The sequence below is a fragment of the Homo sapiens genome, chromosome 1 (assembly GCF_000001405.40).
Source record: "Homo sapiens chromosome 1, GRCh38.p14 Primary Assembly".
NCBI lineage: Eukaryota > Metazoa > Chordata > Mammalia > Primates > Hominidae > Homo > Homo sapiens.
This window is the reverse complement of record NC_000001.11, coordinates 243,546,523-243,564,255: the sequence shown is the minus strand read 5'-3', so window position 1 is coordinate 243,564,255 and position 17,733 is coordinate 243,546,523. Positions and strand designations below refer to the sequence as shown.

Here is a 17,733-nt window from a genome sequence, read left to right as displayed (position 1 = left end):
TTCCCAGGAGAAATTGTTGAAACCATCTGTATATATCTAGAAGAAGATGCTCATCTCTTTGGGATTGTTTAGATCACATTTTCTTTTTTAAAAAAAGAGGATTGATGTTTGCTTTGAAAAGTTGATTAGGCTTTAATTTCAGAACTTACAAAATAATGGCTCTTAAAGCTATATCACTTATTCCCATCGGTTTAAAAATAGATAATTTTATCATCGTGAAGTATTTGATAAAACATGTTTCTTTTTACACGTGAAGCAACAGAGTTTGTAAGTACTGAGCGTTCTATTAGCTACAACTATGTCCTGTTTCCAAAATACCTTACTCAGCATTCAGTAGTTTTTTAAAATGGTATTTTCATGTTGTTGAAGACTATAGAACAAATTATGTCATTTTTCTTAATACACAGTTGGAGAATCTAATGCTGGACAAAGATGGCCACATAAAAATTACAGATTTTGGACTTTGCAAAGAAGGGATCACAGATGCAGCCACCATGAAGACATTCTGTGGCACTCCAGAATATCTGGCACCAGAGGTAGGCTTCGGTTCCATTAATAGGAAAGTAACATTGACATAATGATTTGCAAAGTAAACCATTTAAGCATTAAAAGTTAACTGTAGTATCTACTACTTTTATCTATATTTCAACCTGAATCAAAATTTTTTGGCTCTTAATTTGTTATAATGGGGTATTGTAGGATCAAGAATATACTGAAATTAAATTTTATAAACTATAAGCACAAAGGTACTAGCTATAGTCAGTTAAATCAATTTTTATTTCTTGGCCATATCCATTTTATCTTGGCTATACCCATTTTGATTCATTTATTAAAATAGAATAATTGATTTCAGCAAGAGTATTTATATTTATAAACCATCTTGGACTTTCCTTAGAAACAACAGTGGTTTTTAATTTATAGTATTGTGGGTTTATTTAAAATTATTTTATTGGGAAAATTATTGAAATGACAGTAGCTACATTTTGGAATTTATGTCAGAGGAAGCTCCAAACTGGTAACTTCCCTGTGCTAAGGGTTCCACAATAATTTATTAATTTGTTTATTCAACAAATATTTATTGTGTATCTGCTGTATATCAGGTACTTTTCTGGATGATGTGGTTACAGGCACAACACAGAAAAGGATCCTAGTCTCAGGGAACTTAACTTTCAGTGGAGGGAGACAGAATAAAAATAAATAAATAACATAATGTCTTAAGTTTCATAAACAAACAAACAAAAAAGCAAGATTAAATGTAAGGGTGTGGTGTGGCTGTTGTAGATGGTGTTCCAGTTACTAATGCTGTGTAACAAACCACCCTAATACTTAGCAGTGGAAAACAACCATTTTATATAAAATAATGGATTTTCTGAATCAGGAATGCAAATGGGCACAGCAAGGATAGCTAGTTTATTCTCCACTATGTATGAGGTCTCAGCTTGAAAGACTTTACAGTGAGAGCATGATTCTATGGCTGGAGACTAGAGTCATCAGGAAGCATCTTCACTCACATGTCCGACAGTTCTGCTGCCTGTCCACTGGTACCTTATTTGGGCTGTTGGCAGGAACACTTACATGTAGCCCTTCTCTCCATGAGTCTGGACTTCCTCATAATGACAGTTTCAATGCAGTCAGACTTCTTTGGCTCTGAGCCCTAAAAGCAAATGTCCTAGGGAACACATTAGAAGCTGCATGGTGCCTTTGTTTCCACCTAGTAAACCATCAAGACTATTAACTTTTTAAAAACTTGATTTCACAGATATTTTTATAATTGGAGTACAATTCATATGCCATAAAACTTACTCTTTTAAAATACACACTTTGGTGATTTTTAATATGTTCACAGAGTTGTACAACTATCATCGCTGTCCAATTCCAGAATATTTTCATCACTCCAGCAAGAAACCCCATACCCGTTAGCTCCTCATTCTTCCTTCCGCCACAGGCAACCACTGATCTGCTTTTTGTCTTTATAGATTTACCTATTGTAGACAGTTCATACAAATGGAATCATACAGTATGGAGTCTTCTGTGACTGGCTTCTTTCACTTAGCATAAAATTCAGTGTTCCTCCCTGTTTTAGCATGTTATACTTATTTCATTCCTTTTTATGGCTGGATAATATTCCATTATATGGATATACCACATTTTGTTTATTTGTTCAGCAGCTGATGTACATTGGGTTGCATCCATTTTTTGGCTACTATGAATAATGCTGCTGCTATGAACATTTGTTTATGCATCTCCTTTTATGGCCTATTTTCAGAAGTCACACAACATCATTTCTGTCATACCCTTACTCCCTGAAGCAGTTGTAAGCCTGCACAGGTTAAAGTGGTAGAGACAGAGACCACACCTTTACATTACAGAAGAGCATGTGAGATGGGAGATACTGCCACAGCCATCTTTGAAAAATAACATCTTTCACAGATACTATGTTCAGCGAAAGTGATGGTTGATGGAAAGTGATGGTACCTGTTGCAAAGGTAAAAGGGAAGAGCTTTCCAAAGAGAGCAGCTGGTGCTCCATTTCCCCTCAAACTCCAATACAGTTATTGTGGCTATAGGCAAATAGGGAGGTGTTAATATTTGATGTGTGAGGGTAACTATTTAATGAGCATCTACTATGTGCCACCTGCTGTGTAAGTGCATTACAGCTATTATTTCATTTAACATTTGGAATAATCTTTGATGATAGATAGCAAATGCAATTTTTTAAAGGTGAGGGATCATAAGATCAGAATATTTAAATGTTATCTGTACACAGCTAAGAGGTGGTAGAAGTGTAATGAAGATTCTAATTAGTGTGTCTGACTATAAAGCCCACTTTTACTTTTTAAACTACATACGTCCTGGCCTCAAAAAATCCTAATTTGAAGACCACTTACAAATATAAATAATCGTAATTTTTAAATGAATGCTTTGTAAATGCCCAACAGGAAAAGGTAATCAAAAGAAATTAGGAAGTAAAATAAATCCCCAATGATACTAGCATTCCTTAAACATAAAGTAACTCATGCTGGTCTATTATTCTAATACTTCTTTTCAACTAGGGATTACATTTACATTTCAACAATGTTAAGTTATTGTAAATAAGTGCTACTATTTAAAATACAATAAATTTCATACTATTATTTTCTTGCCAAAAATATAATTTTCTCTCTTTAAAAATTTGTAGTTTAGAATTCTCTATTTTTGTGGTTTAATTAGGTAAAACTTTAGTAACACTGTTTCTTGTTTATTCAAATAAAATATTTTCTAGAATAGAATTGTTTTTATAAATGTCACAAAAAATTATTTGTTTCTCTGGAGTTCAGTTACCCCTGCTATAAATTTGCTATGGAAGAAGATATGCCATATTTAGAATAACAAAATTAATTGTGTCACAATTAGGGTAAATTATTTCTGAAGAAGATGAATACATCTCATTTAAGAAGCAGATGATCTGAGAAACAAATATATTATTTCATATGCAGTGTCATCAACTGAAGAACAAATTAAGAATCTAATGCAAGAAGAGTCCACTTGTTTCTGAATGGAAAGTTTATAGTTGCCACAAAATTATCAGTTTCTCTTTAAAGACAAGAAAACATTTCTGTATACCTTTTTTAATACTTCAAAAGTCTGGTCTTTAAAAACAGTTTGTATACCCATCCTTGGTGGATACACATTGATTCATAATTCAAATCTGGACACCATGTTTTTATAGGGAAGAGTGATTATTGTTGTTATTATTTGAGTATGAGAAATCTTGAAACAACTTACGAAATTGTAACTTTTATATTTTAAATGTTGTGTCACATATTGCATTTTTAAACTTTGACTGTGTTTACCCTTAAAAAAATAAGAATTTAATTCCTTTATTCTGGTCTTCAGCGTGGACCATTTTACTGAGGGACACTCATTCATTCATCAAAGAATTATTTATTGAATATTAAGTATCAGGCATTACATTAGGTACTGGGAATACAACGATGGTAGAAGATGTTTTTGCCCTCAAGTGGCTTGCTGTTCACTGAGGTGATAAGACATGGAAAACAGTTATTACTGTGCAAGAAAATAACTGCTTTACTAGTTCCATACAGTGGAGTGGAAGGAAAAGGAAAAGTGCTTAAGCCTGCAGGGAGGGTCCGGCAGTGGAAAAGGGGAAGCAGGAAGAGAGGAGGCTGGACACATAGATAGGGATTGAAATGTAACAGTTTTAGATTTGATCCTGTGGGCTAGGGAAAATTACTTGTGAATTGAGAGCAAGGCGATACTGTGATCAGATTTACATGGTCAGTGTTAGGGAGCGATTGGCAGGAGCTGAAGCCAGCCTCTTCCTTTTACCTCAGATGGTGTCTCGCACTTTTTTTGGACCTTGAAATTTCTAGTACATTACCATTATTAATGCTGGGCTTTTCGTGACAGTACTAGAAGTAGTAGTTGTGTATCAGATCTGTAATACATTCTTGACTACTGCTTCTCTTGTGAATGACTCACTGTCAACATTTTCCCCTCTGTCTTTACAGAAGATTTGTTTACACATTATGTAGGAATCTTGCTGCAACCTATACTTCATCTAGCAATAGTGTTCCTTCGCCTTTTACGTTGTTTTAATCTGGTATAAAGACAGGTGAAGGGTATTTTGAAGATACTTCACAAAGAGTGTTAGAAATCAGTTTAAAGCCAGTTTATTAAATGTCCAATGTCAGATACATGGCAGGTTTTAAAATAAACTTGAGTTTTAAGTGAACTTAATTTGTTTCTTATGGCAAATTAGAAAAACATAAAACTTACAGTATAAATATGCCATTTGTTGAAAAAAGAATATTTTTAAGGTATTTGTTCTCTTATCTCTTTTGATGAAGAATGCAGCTTACAATGCAGTTTTCCAACTTGGGAAGCATTTAACAATACTGCTAATGTAGAAAAGGCTAGCTTTGTTTTGTTTTGTGTTTTTAACAGGTTACAGCGGTTCAGTTCTAGCTGGCATATGCACTGTGCATTTAGTGTGCTACATCTTGAAAACTGCATTTGTATGTATAGTTTTAAATGAATGTACTTTTGCTCTTTTGTACATTCGAAGGAAATAAACTTATAGTAAATTATGGACCATATGATATCTTGAGGGGATTTTGTTTTTATAATCTGTGCTGTATTTTCACACCTAGAAATTATAAAAGAAATTAGAAATCACATATAAACTCTTACTGCTAAATTTTATTATTTGATTTGGCTCCTATTGAATCCAAACCATTTTATGCAGTGCTAATTATTTAGAGTCTCAGCTTTGCTCTTGAGTTAGCAGTACCTGATCCACTTTCCAACTGTAAAACAGTTTGAAAATCAAATGTAGCTTACATGCAAGACCCAACAAAATTAAAAGTGTTAAGTGCGTTTTGGCAGTTCACTTTTATTATGCCCAGTCCTCAAATGTACCAGCAGATAATCATCTGAATGTTAGTTATTTTTCACATGCTTATGTGATCACACAAAAAGTACATGCTAAAAAGAGGCAGATGGTGACAGATGGGGAAGGTTGAATAAGGTGGTTTTGGAAACCTAGAGAAATGCACTTCTGTAATAGTGTAAAAATAAAAATTATTTGATAATCAAGTTAGAACTAACAAAGATTGCAAAAAATGACTTGATTGTTGGGAAATATATCTAGCTGTGGTTGCTATTGAGAAAAAAATGCATCTAATTTTATTTCATCTAAATGTAAAATGATTTGTTTTTCCAGTGGCTGAAGTGCAGTATTTGATGCATTCTTTTTAGTTTTTTAGAACCCCATTCTTAGAAAATGTTTTGCTTGCCAAAATTTTCCTGATTTTTTCTTTGAAACCTACTATCTTTAATATCTTGCATATAATGTAACATTTTTAAAATAGCTGAAATAGATGAGAATATTTTGACAACTATTTTGATACAAAGATTTGCTCAAAGTCATTGTGTTAGCTCATAGTACACATGGAGATTAATTTCTATATAAATTAAAAACCAAAGATATATATTAACTTCCACAAAAGGTAGTAAAGGCAGTGCCAGGGCATGGACTAGTGTTGTAGGTGTGGGAAATAGTTAGAAGCTAACTTGCTTGAAATGTATTAAACAGAATTTTCTTTATTTTAAATCCAACAAAGAATAAATGTAAAATATGTCATTTTGTGGGTGCTGCCAATGTTGTTTTTAGGAGATCTGAAGAGAAATGAATGAGGCTAAAGTTACATATGTTTGCACATTTAATCTGTAGGTAAAAATAGTAGCACATGTAGTTACATTCTGATTAGTCTTTGCACAAAGTCCTACTATATTCCAGCAGATTGTAAAACTAGTCTTAGAATCTCTATGCTTTTTGTGAAAAGAAAGAGTTGTTTTAGTAGCCTTTCTAAAATTGTGGACAACCCTAACATTTTATTTACTTATTGATAATTCATATGATATCTCTCCACCTGGGGTAATTTTGAAAACCTTCATCTTCCTGGGAATTCAGAAAAGGTCTCATCACCATGATTAAAGGGAACATTAAAGGAGTAGAGGGATGAGTTCAGATAGAAGCTGTCTGCTCTATAGTTAGAATTCATGTTTAAGAACTTCTAACTCTCATATGAGTTGGCTTACTATTTAGTTGAATATATTTAATTTCTTTCTATAGTATGTTGCTATTTTATATGATTTTCTGGGTAATATTAAAAGCCATTCCATTTTATCTCATAATTGGACATTGTTTAAATATGAACTAAAATGGAATTAACGCCTCTCAATGTTTATAAGTGGCATCTTTTACTTACTTAGAGGTCTGTCAGTTCTTAAAGTAGCTATTTTTCGCCCTAACTTCTTTTCAATGTTATATGGTCTTTTGGCTTTAACAGAATATTTGCATTCAGTACTTCGGTGTGATTCTAGTTTAAGCATGAAGTTTAATTTTAAATTCTCTGTACCATGAGAACATATACAAAACTAACCCTAACTGGAAACACTGGTGATTACCTATAGTATTTTACAATGGCTATTGTTACTTGGGTTATGAAGGCTCAGTTTCTTGGAATCCCATAATGTCTATTGCTTCAGAATAAAAAAGAAGTATAGAAATTTCTTGGAAGATATGTGTAAGTATGATCTAATCATCATTATTGTATCCATTTAGCCTTTCTCTTGTCAAAGGATTTTTCCTGTGCTAGCCAGAGTTTGCTTTTGAAAGTACGATGTTAACTGTATACAAGTATTTGTGTGTGCTAGGAGAGGTGGCCATAAAGCGTACAGCATTCTAATTCATAGCAAATGGCATTGACAGTTGCTGTCACTTAAGAACTATTAAAGCAGTTGAGAAATAGTTATAAAATATATATTTATGAAGAAAATACCAAGCAACTGTAGAATTTATAATCTTATGTATTGAAATGGATACTTTTCCTGAAGCTGCAGTTTACTTTAAAATCTGAATGAGAAGATTTATAGGTCTTTTTTTCTTAGCCCATACCTGTGATGTTAAGAATATCTGAAGGGCTCCCATAAATGATAAATGATACAGATGTATGTTTAGGTATAAAACACACATCTATCAGTTACCTGAAATGTAAGGCTACCAGAAAAAACTTTTTTTTTGAATTAGTGGTAAATTGGTTCATCCAAGTTCGCAGTTTACTTTCACAGCATAGGTGTGCAGACAGTTTGTTTAGATGTTTAATTTTTTCCCCCATCTGTTCTGTCAGGATTATTGATTGAGCAGTAAGCCACTCCAGGGCATACATAGCCTCCTTATAATTGCTTGCCTTGGGTGCATTGTGTGGCCTGGTGGGCAAGCTGAGAGAGGGGTCCCTTTAACCTCCTAGTAAATCCTCCTGGTAAACAAATATTGTAATGAATAGTTTTTTTTTTGTTTTGAAAAAGCCCATTAGCCAAATAAATATTTACATTAGTAACTTGAATTGGTAGTATCATTTAAAAATATATAGTTTCTCATTCAATATCATTCTTTGAAATTAATAACAATTCAAAAACTAATGTGTTTTAACTCACCTGGCTGTTTTATAAATGTAAGTGTCTTCATCAAATATTGATCAAATATTTCCAGGATATTTAATGTTAATTTGTATCTGCTGTAACCTCCTTGAGTCTTAGGTTTTATCGTATCATAAAGTAAAGCAGTTTCTGGCTCCTATTAGAAATACAGCCTTGTTTTCTAGACTTTGTGCTCTGTTTAAGTTTTCATTTGATGTGACCTCTCATCATTTTTTAACAATTACATTTTTTTGATGTTCCAAATCTCCTCTTTCATCTCTGTTTGGGCATTTGTGTTAAAGGTAGGTATAATGTACAACTACATCTGTGGTTACAAAGGACTGTAGGGGTAGAGGAAATACCAAATGTCTGCTTTCCTATTTAAAGTTTGGGTTTCATTTACAAGTCAGTAATGTTGGTTTTATGGAAAGGAGACAGAAGTTATTTCTTCAAGATAAATCTTTCACTGGATTTTTTCAGGAGCATATTTTGATCTGCATTTATATCCAAATTATATGAGAAATTAACCTTTTAATGAAGTTGAAATATGCTCTACCATTGTTGTACCTGTCCATTATACCACTGTTTATCATACCTTTCAGCCAGCCCTCACAATAACCATGAAATAAATTAGCCTTTTAGCTAGAAAAAAATGATCAGAGGTAGCCAGAAAGAATTTGCAATCCTTAAGTTAAAAAAATGTAAATTTTATATGTTATGTATTTATAGAATAATAAGTGCTTTGAGTAGAGGGAGAAAAATTGTCTTCTTAAAATAATGTGAAAGAGGTTATTGGATTCGAATTGGTTAATTTGGCTGTGGGATTTCCAGAGTATTTGAAAGTATTGTGTTTTGAAATAATTTAGATTCAGGAAAGAGAAAGGATATTGTTTTAATAGTGGGAACATATGTATCCACATGTAGGATACTGTAATCATTATTTATGTATGTTTCATCTTATAGCTGTTTGGAGATAGGATTTGGACAAAAATCTTTCTAATTGATAGTGAAGTCTCTTAGGTAAAGAGGGATTTTAGTTGTTAGGGTGTTTTCTTCTCAGCATTGCTTAAGTTTACATGTCAGGAAGACAATACGTTACATCAGTTTTGTTCAATACAAAGTAATACGGCAAACAGTTCTAATTATAGCATTATGTATCTGTAGATCAATTAAGGCACGTATGTTCAGAGGCAAAATCACTTATTTTAAGAATCGATATTCATTTTACAAAGCTAAATAAAATGTATTTTATTTTATCAAACAGATTTTTTTACAATGCAGTTTTATTTTTCAGTTGCTTACTTCTCTTCAAAAATAAAACCCCCCTTTTTTATGTACTCACTTTCCCTTCTGGCTGCAAACCAGGTATTTAAAAAAAATAAAGGATTGCCAGTTTTGCCAGCTGGGGATGAGAACCCGGCTGGTGAAATGTGGGTTCGGGAGGCAGTTAATCCAGCTTTTATGCTTTTTATGGTTTTATGAAAAAAAAAAGAGGTTAAAAACCACATTTGGCTCCTTTTCGTATATGCCACTGTTGTGTTGGTGTTGTAGGAATGTAGTTAAAGGTTACTTAGATATAAATTTTTGGTTGTTATTAGTTAAAATCTTGTGTCAATTAGATAAAGGCCCACCAACAGTGCATTGTACTAATTGGCCATGAGCGAGATCCTTGAATCATCAAAAGTCAGTGGTATTTTAAAATAATACATGCAGCATTTCCTTTAACGTAAATATGAAGTAGAATTTCTTCTGCTTTTTTAGGTTATTTTTTGTTTTCTATTTGTTCTCAAATTACTCATTTCAAACAAGTAAAAATATGACATTCTTTGCGCTGATGATGAAAACTAGAATTTGTTGTTCTTCCAGAAAATGTTTTTTTGTTAGTTTGTGATTTACAAAACATTTCTAGAAAAGCATAGGATCTAAACATGTGTTCATATCTTACCAGTGAAGTTTTCAGTTTTTTAGCCGTAAAACAAACATTGATATAATTGAATTAAAAATCTTTTCATAATAGAAATGCTTATTGAATAGATCTTTTAAGTAACATATTTTTTCTTATAAATTATATCCTTTGTCTTTAAATACCCTACCAAAGTGCCTTTCATAGTATTTTTAGGTAATCATAATGTAACTGTCAAAAATATCACCTGTAATTCTGTGAGATTATTGGTAAATTTTAAATAAAAGTCATGTAGGAGTAATCTTCCAGAAAATATTTAATTCGAAGCAAGAAAGTTTGGAACACAAGTACTGCTTTGTCCTTATCAAATGTTCTCCTTTGTAATCGGTTGTAAGTGTTTTTAAATTGATAAATTCATATATTTGGTTTTCCCCATCTGGTTTTCCAAAGCTGAGAGGATCAAATAAAATAAGCTTTAAGATTATCAAATATAGTTTTAAAATAAAATATTCAAAGTTGCATATAGATGAGGAATATTCCATTGGATGAAGAACAAATCTGATAAAAAGATAAAACCAAATTTTTCCTGGGGCAAATGGTAGGTTACCATGTTACCATTTGAACAGGTTGCTCCAGCATAGGCAAACGGATACTTTTGTATCATTTCTAACTAAATTTATTTTACGTGTAATATATTTTGGGAAAAATTTAAGGACATATACCACACAGATATTAAGTCCATTTTTTTTGCTGTAACAGGAATTTTTGTTGTGAGGTATAAAGCTGTGGCTATCAAAGTTTATTACAGCTCGTACCATAAGCTTTTATATTCACTTTGTCTCTTAAATAGTTCCAGAAAGAGTTGAAACATACAGGGGCATCCAAAGGTTTTTCAAAGTTATTTTAATGGTTGTCTTGCCCTGTAGACTTCTCCATTACATTGCCTTTGTTTACTACTGTCTTTCACTGTTTAATTTGTATTACTTAGTTCTTCTTAAGGCAAGAATGTACAGTGCACTTTATGTGCTCTATAATCAGCACACCCTAGCTCTGAGTTGTTACTTGAAGTCCACATGGGTGGAACCAGAATGAAAAAGTCAGTAGGCCTAAGAAAAAATATGTAAATATGCTAGCTAACGTTTTTCATTTGATCCTTATGTATATTCATGTACTTGGGATTTTTTTTTTTTTGTACGACCTGCCCCTTTTTTTGTACACTGGCCATTTGTGGATATATATTGAATATTTCACATATTTGATGTGATTTGTATTTTTTGTAGGATGCTTCACAGTTTAAATGTCAAGATCTCAGACTACCTAGGCTTTGAAAGTTAAGATTCATTTTTATGTAAAAATCTTATGTTTTATGAATAATGCTTTAAAAGTTAACATGTAATAATTAATCTTTTTACTGATTTCACTTTTAGGTGTTAGAAGATAATGACTATGGCCGAGCAGTAGACTGGTGGGGCCTAGGGGTTGTCATGTATGAAATGATGTGTGGGAGGTTACCTTTCTACAACCAGGACCATGAGAAACTTTTTGAATTAATATTAATGGAAGACATTAAATTTCCTCGAACACTCTCTTCAGATGCAAAATCATTGCTTTCAGGGCTCTTGATAAAGGATCCAAATAAACGGTAAGCCTCAAATAACGCTTAGTGAATTACTGATGAATGTGGTTAAAAATTGAGATATGGAAATTAATTCAAATATAACTAACTCCAAGAAGCAATGTATTTGGTGTAGACATCTTCCCACTGAGATCCTGACTTATTTTTAACTGCATAATATAGAACATTTAAAAATTTTTCTCAACTCTTTCCTAACTTGGAAATTTTATGCAGATTTACCAAATAAGGATTTTGAGAGTTTCATTATCCATATTATGAGTGAAAATTTCTTAATTGCTCTGTTACTTGATCTTGTGGGGATAGAAGAATCACTTTTCTTTCTTTCAGTCTCTGGGCCTTTGTATTTCTTATAAAAGGAATAGACCTATTTTTCAATACTCTCCTCCCACCCGCAACCTGTGTTAACATATCTAATTGCATTTTTTTTTTTTTTTTTTTTTTTTTTTGAGACAGAGTCTCACTCTGCCACCCAGGCTGGAGTGCAGTGGCGCGATCTTGACTCACTGCAACCTCTGCTTCCCAGGTTCAGGTGATTTTCCTGCCTCAGCCTCCCGAGTGGCTGGGACTACAGGCACCTCCACCACGCCTGTCTAATTTTTGTGTTTTTAGTAGAGACGGGGTTTTGCCAAGTTGGCCAGGCTAGTCTTGAACTCCCGACCTCAAGTGATCCGCCTGCTTCGGCCTCCCAAAGTGCTGGGATTACAGTCGTGAGCCACCGCACCCGGCCTCTAACTGCTTTTTTGTCATTTGAAAATAATCTTTTCTATGCATAGCTGAAAGAGTTGATGGCAAAAAATAATTGTACACACTTTTAATTTCTGTTTTTGTAGCTACAGCTATGAATTGAAGAACTCTATGGCTCTTGCTGCTTTGTTCAATGAGCTACAGTATTTTTATTCATGTTTATACATTCATTCATATTTATAAATTCATAAATCATATGTGAAATGACTATTAATATTAAAATGTTTCTTAATATGTGTGTTTGTATATGGATATATCTGCCTTCCCATCTAGGTATCTGTGCATATCAGTATTTCTCTGAGTCTACTCATTTGAAGCATAGATGATTTCACATATTGTTGAATATTTTATAATACCTCACATAGAGTTTTATGAAAATGTTTTACGTATGGTTGATGCTCATATATATATATATTATATATATATGAGTGGGTTAATGAGTGAATCCCAAAAAGTTGGATTTTTAAGTCTATCTGAGAAATGGTTTTCATTGTATTCTTCTAGCTTTTAACCTTGTAAGGAACATGGCTTTATCTTCAGCAGAAATAAGCAAACATAATAAAAGAGATATTGTCTTTCTGCTTTGTGAAGACTCATTCAAGAAACATTTTGTAATCCTAGCTGCAGATATTATTTATATGTGTAAAGTGATTTTGTTTTCTTCTTCAGAGCACTTTCACAGCTATTAATTCCCTTGCTTTTTCAGGAGCCTTGTTGGGTGGATAGGGGAGATACTATTCTTATTTCCATTTCATTGAGTTGAAAACAAAGGCCCAGAGAGGGTTAGGTGATTTCTTCAAGGTCTCTCAGAACATTCATGCAGACCAAGAGTAGAAGTCAAGTTTCTTGGTGCCTATTTGGTATTTCTTATGTATCTTATTTACAATGCAGCAGTTTCTCAGTTTAAGTTTTGAAATGTGTTCCGTTTGATAGCGTTCTTTTACAATTAAGTAAGGAGCAGCACCCGATGATAGGTAACTTTAAACAGAGTGGTGACTTTTATCTTTTTTTTTTTTTTTTTTTTTTTTTTTTGAGAGGGAGTCTCGCTCTGTTGTCTGGGCTGGAGTGCAGTGGCGCAATCTCGGCCCACTGCAACCTCCGCCTCCTGGGTTCAAGCAATTCCCCTGCCTCAGCCTCCTGAGTAGCTGGGACTACAGGCGCCTGCCACCACACCTGGCTTTTTTTTTTTTTTTTTTTTTTTGGTATTTTAGTAGAGATGGGGTTTCACCATGTTGGCCAGGATGGTCTCCATCTCCTGACCTCGTGATCCACCCCCCTCGGCTTTCCAAAGTGCTGGGATTACAGGCATGAGCCACCGTGTCCAGCCGACTTTTATCTATTTCATTTTTTGGTCTAATATTTGGCTTGGTATTCGAGGCAGTGAATATTTATCTCATCGTTTTCTTATTCCTGCAGGCAACTTTGACCACCCTTTACTTTGTGGCCCTCTTTATATAAGTGGCTAGTAGAACAAAATGTACTTGTGGTTTTCATGTGTATGTCTCATTCATTTTTTTTTATTTGTCAGCCCACTCCATGAATAGCACATAGTCGGTACTTAGGAACTATTGAATGAATGTGAGGCAAATTCTTAGAATGTTAACCGCCTAGTATGTATTAATAGAACAATTCCTAACTGTTTGTTCACCAGGAGGTTGATATTGATCTAATGAGAAGATGCAGTATTTTCAATGATCTAATAATTTCTTTTATAATAGATGTGTCAAGCCCCTCCACTGCTGCATCAAAATACAGAGAATACAAGGATGAGTGAGATGAACCAGTCTCTGCTCTAGATGTTCATAGAATAATTTGGGGCACAAAACATATACTCACAGATGCTCAGGTCAAACTACATACAAAGTACTGTTGAAATTATTGGCTTTGTCTAGGGGATTGGGGGACTTGAGCTGGATCAGAAAGGAGTTTGAATTTGCATTGGCACTCAAGCACAGAAATTTACATGTAGAGTATAGCTAGGATTGCAAAAGAACATGGCATTTGAGAAGTTCAGTGACTAGAGTGTAGAATATGAGTTGGGTAACACTGGGAAATGAAGCTGATATATTAGATTATAAGGATCTTAGGTTTCTTAGAAAATATTTAATCTTCATTCAGAAGAGGGTGAGATACTGCTTAAGTGTTTAAAGCAAGGGATAGTATAATCAGATTTGTGTCATGAAAAGGTAACTCTGGCAGCTTTGTCATGGACAGATTAGATGAGTGAGGATCCAGGGGCAGGCAGAGCAGTTAAAAGTGTTTATGGGGCCAGGCACAGTGGCTCACACCTGTAATCCCCGCACTTTGGGAGGCCGAGGCAAGAAGGTCACTTGAGGTCGGGAGTTCAAGACCAACCTGGGCACATAGCAAGATTCATCTCTACTAAAAAAAAATAAAATGCTGGGTATGGTGGCACATGCTGTAGTCCCAGCTACTTGGGAGGCTGAGGTGGGAGAATCGCTGGAGCCCAGGAGGTCGAGACTGCAGTGACCCAAGGTGACACCATTGCACTCCAGCCTGGGCAATAGAGTGAGTCCCTGTCTTTTTTTTAAAAAGAATATTTATGGAATTGTTCAGATAATAGATGGATTCCTTCCTGAAGCAGTAGTACACAAGTGATAGAGGTTATGATTAACTAGAAACTATGAGGAAGTAGGAGGAGTTAGGAATCCCTCTGAGGTTTCCAGCTAGGGTGATTAACAGACAGGGTATGCAAACCAAGGAGGCTTGATGGGGCTAGATGTTGATAATAACTTTGGGTACACTGAGTCTGAAGTTTCTATATAAAACCAAGATGGAAATGTCAAGTGAGCAGCTGGAAATAATAGAATGAATGCTTAAAAGAAACACAGTAACTGACTACATGGATTGGGAACCATAACTATATCTAGGAGGTAGCTAGAGCCAAGGCAGTAGTGGCAAGGGTAGTGGATAAGGAGAAGAGGGCCTAGGACAGAATCTTAGGGAACCTCAGTTTCAGGGGGAGAAAGAAAAGAAAGCTAACAAGGACCTTGAAAAGCCTTTGGAAACATAAGTAATGATAGCATTATAATACACCTCTTCATTTTTTCTACGCAGCTATTTTAAATACTACTGGAATTTTTCTGGTATTTCTTATTGAATTGCTGTTAGTTCTATCCAAGGGTCAACTATCATTTTGCTTTTATTTCTTAGTCTCCATCCTTTCTGTTCATTCTGTTAGCCCCTCCTTTATCTTCCTATGCGGAGTTGATAGGAAAAGCATGACCTCATGTATTCAGTAACATTAGGAAAATGTGAATTCTGTGATGTTCCTAATAGTAAAGGAATTTGTAGTAGCTGAGGATTTAGTCTGGCATTCTGATACTGGAGTTTAGTATTCTAGACATAAATATCTTACTTCAAAGCATATTTTGTTATTATTTTTGAAGTCTTAAATTGTATATTAGAGAGTCATTGACACTGAAATTTTTGACAGTTTCACACATTGAAGAAGTGTGTTAAAGAATTTCTCCTAGCTTCTAAAATGGAAGTCTGATTGTATTCTCAGACTTTGCATAGTATTCATAGCTGATATTTTAGTTTTATATGTATTTGATAAATATAGAATAAATGCTGGCTATGTTCAAAACCAAAGTATTGCTAGAAAACTTGAGGAGTTACAAAAATGGATAACTAAAGCTGGATTAAAACATTTTATTTACAAAATGATTATGATTCTCCACTCCAACTCCCATCTCAAGTACAATTCAAATGAAAACAGTATTGAAATAAACTACAACATAAGTGTAAGAAAATGCCATGGAGCTTTGATGTTTCTCATGCAGACTATGTTGACGCATGCTTGAAAATATTAAATGCTTTTCAGAAACGTGTTTTGGTGCTTTTGCTTCTCTGGTTCCCCAAGCACAAGCTTAGAATGCCTTTTGGATAATCCAGCACTGATCTTGCCTTCAAAGGAGTTTGCAGTCTCCTGGGAAAGAAACCTACACAACTGAAATAGAATGAAAAAGAGGGCAGGGTCTGAAATGCTGAGCTCTCACTGAACACAGAACTACCAGTCTGAAAATTCCAAATGCAAACATCGAACAGCACTATTATGATCAAACCTAAAAGTGCCATCTCTGGGGTATAGTTCATTTAGAGAATTCTATAAGGATCTGGGAGTTGGAGACCCAGCTGGTGGGAATTATTTATCATCACTAAAGATATTCAGGTATCAGTTGACTGTTTTCCATTTTAATTGTGTGTCAAAGGATACTAGGTCCTTCCCAGTCATGTGTTTCTTAGATCTAATAACCAGAATTCATTAGAATTATATAATTATAAATGATTTCTGACCTACGATGGCTTGACAATTTTTTGACTTTATGATGGTGCGAAACTGATGCGTATTTAGTATGCTCCTCAACTAATGATGGAATTGCATCCAGATAAAACCATCTTAAGTTGAAATGTGGGCTTATCTAGACATAACCCATCATTAAGTTTAGGAGCATCTGTATTTGTTTTCTATGACGTATTTGGTTTTCTTCCAACCCAGTGGTGTTTTGGAGTTAGCATATACCAGCTCTCAAGAACCAACTGTTAAATTTTCACCAATTTTATGAGCTGGTTGTATATTATAGTCATTACTAAAAATTATATAAATTTACTAATAATAGGAAAATCAAAGGTCATAAATACTAAAAAGTCATTACTCCTTAATTTGTTATGTTTCACTGTTATCTGTATTTTTGAGATTAGTTATGTCTGCTGTATCTGTTTGGACATAATATATAATGGTTTGCTACTATGCATCTCTTCCTGCCTACATGTTCAGTGACATCTTATTGGTAGCTCGAAACTGGCCACAGTGGAAGAATTTATACCGCCAGAATTGGCAAATACTATGAGTTGGGGCTGCACTTACTGTTTTGTTGACTGTTTAGACTTAAGAGAAAATATTAATAATGCAGATTCATTACATTGTAAATAGCACCAAAAAATGAATCTTCTTCCACCATCCCAAAGTTACTAAACATTTAGCAAAGAAATCACTCACATAACTGACAAGTGAAGTTCTGAAGTCTCCATTGTATCACTTTCAGCTTTGACTTTAACATAAACAAAAATGTCAACCAATATTCATGTTGGAACTAATCGTAAGTTTCATCCATTAGTGGCTTTGGCGTACAGCAGAAATTAACAAGTTTTCTGTGAGAATCAGGTGACTAATTTACAATACACAACATTGTATGTTTTATGATCTTTGTAAATTTTGTGTTTTGCATTCTTTATATCAGTAAAATTTAAATTTATATGTCTGGGGTGTGGTGGTGGCTAGGTCAGGCAAGGTTTGGTCCCAGCAGCTCCATGGCTGCTCTGCTCTGAGCATCTGGTATCTACTGTGCCTTTGAAAAAAAAAAGAAAAAAAATTATATTTGTATAAATGCATGATTGCTCACAGAGAGCTGGTTGTTAAGCACTTACCAGCACATATCATTTCT

General features: G+C 34.1%; 1 protein-coding gene across 12 annotated transcripts in view; it reads left to right on the top strand.

Annotated features, from left to right (window-relative positions):
* Positions 1-17,733, top strand: part of AKT3 (AKT serine/threonine kinase 3) — a 362,847-nt gene that overhangs the window by 286,824 nt on the left and 58,290 nt on the right. For 11 of the 12 annotated variants that reach the window (NM_181690.2, NM_001370074.1, XM_047420641.1 and 8 more), the window contains 2 exons: positions 408-536; positions 11,313-11,527. In NM_181690.2, coding sequence (NP_859029.1) covers positions 408-536; positions 11,313-11,527 — 344 coding nt within the window. Of the gene's footprint in view, positions 1-407; positions 537-11,312; positions 11,528-17,733 lie in introns of those variants that run through there. The other variant, XM_024446892.2, reaches the window with a different exon arrangement.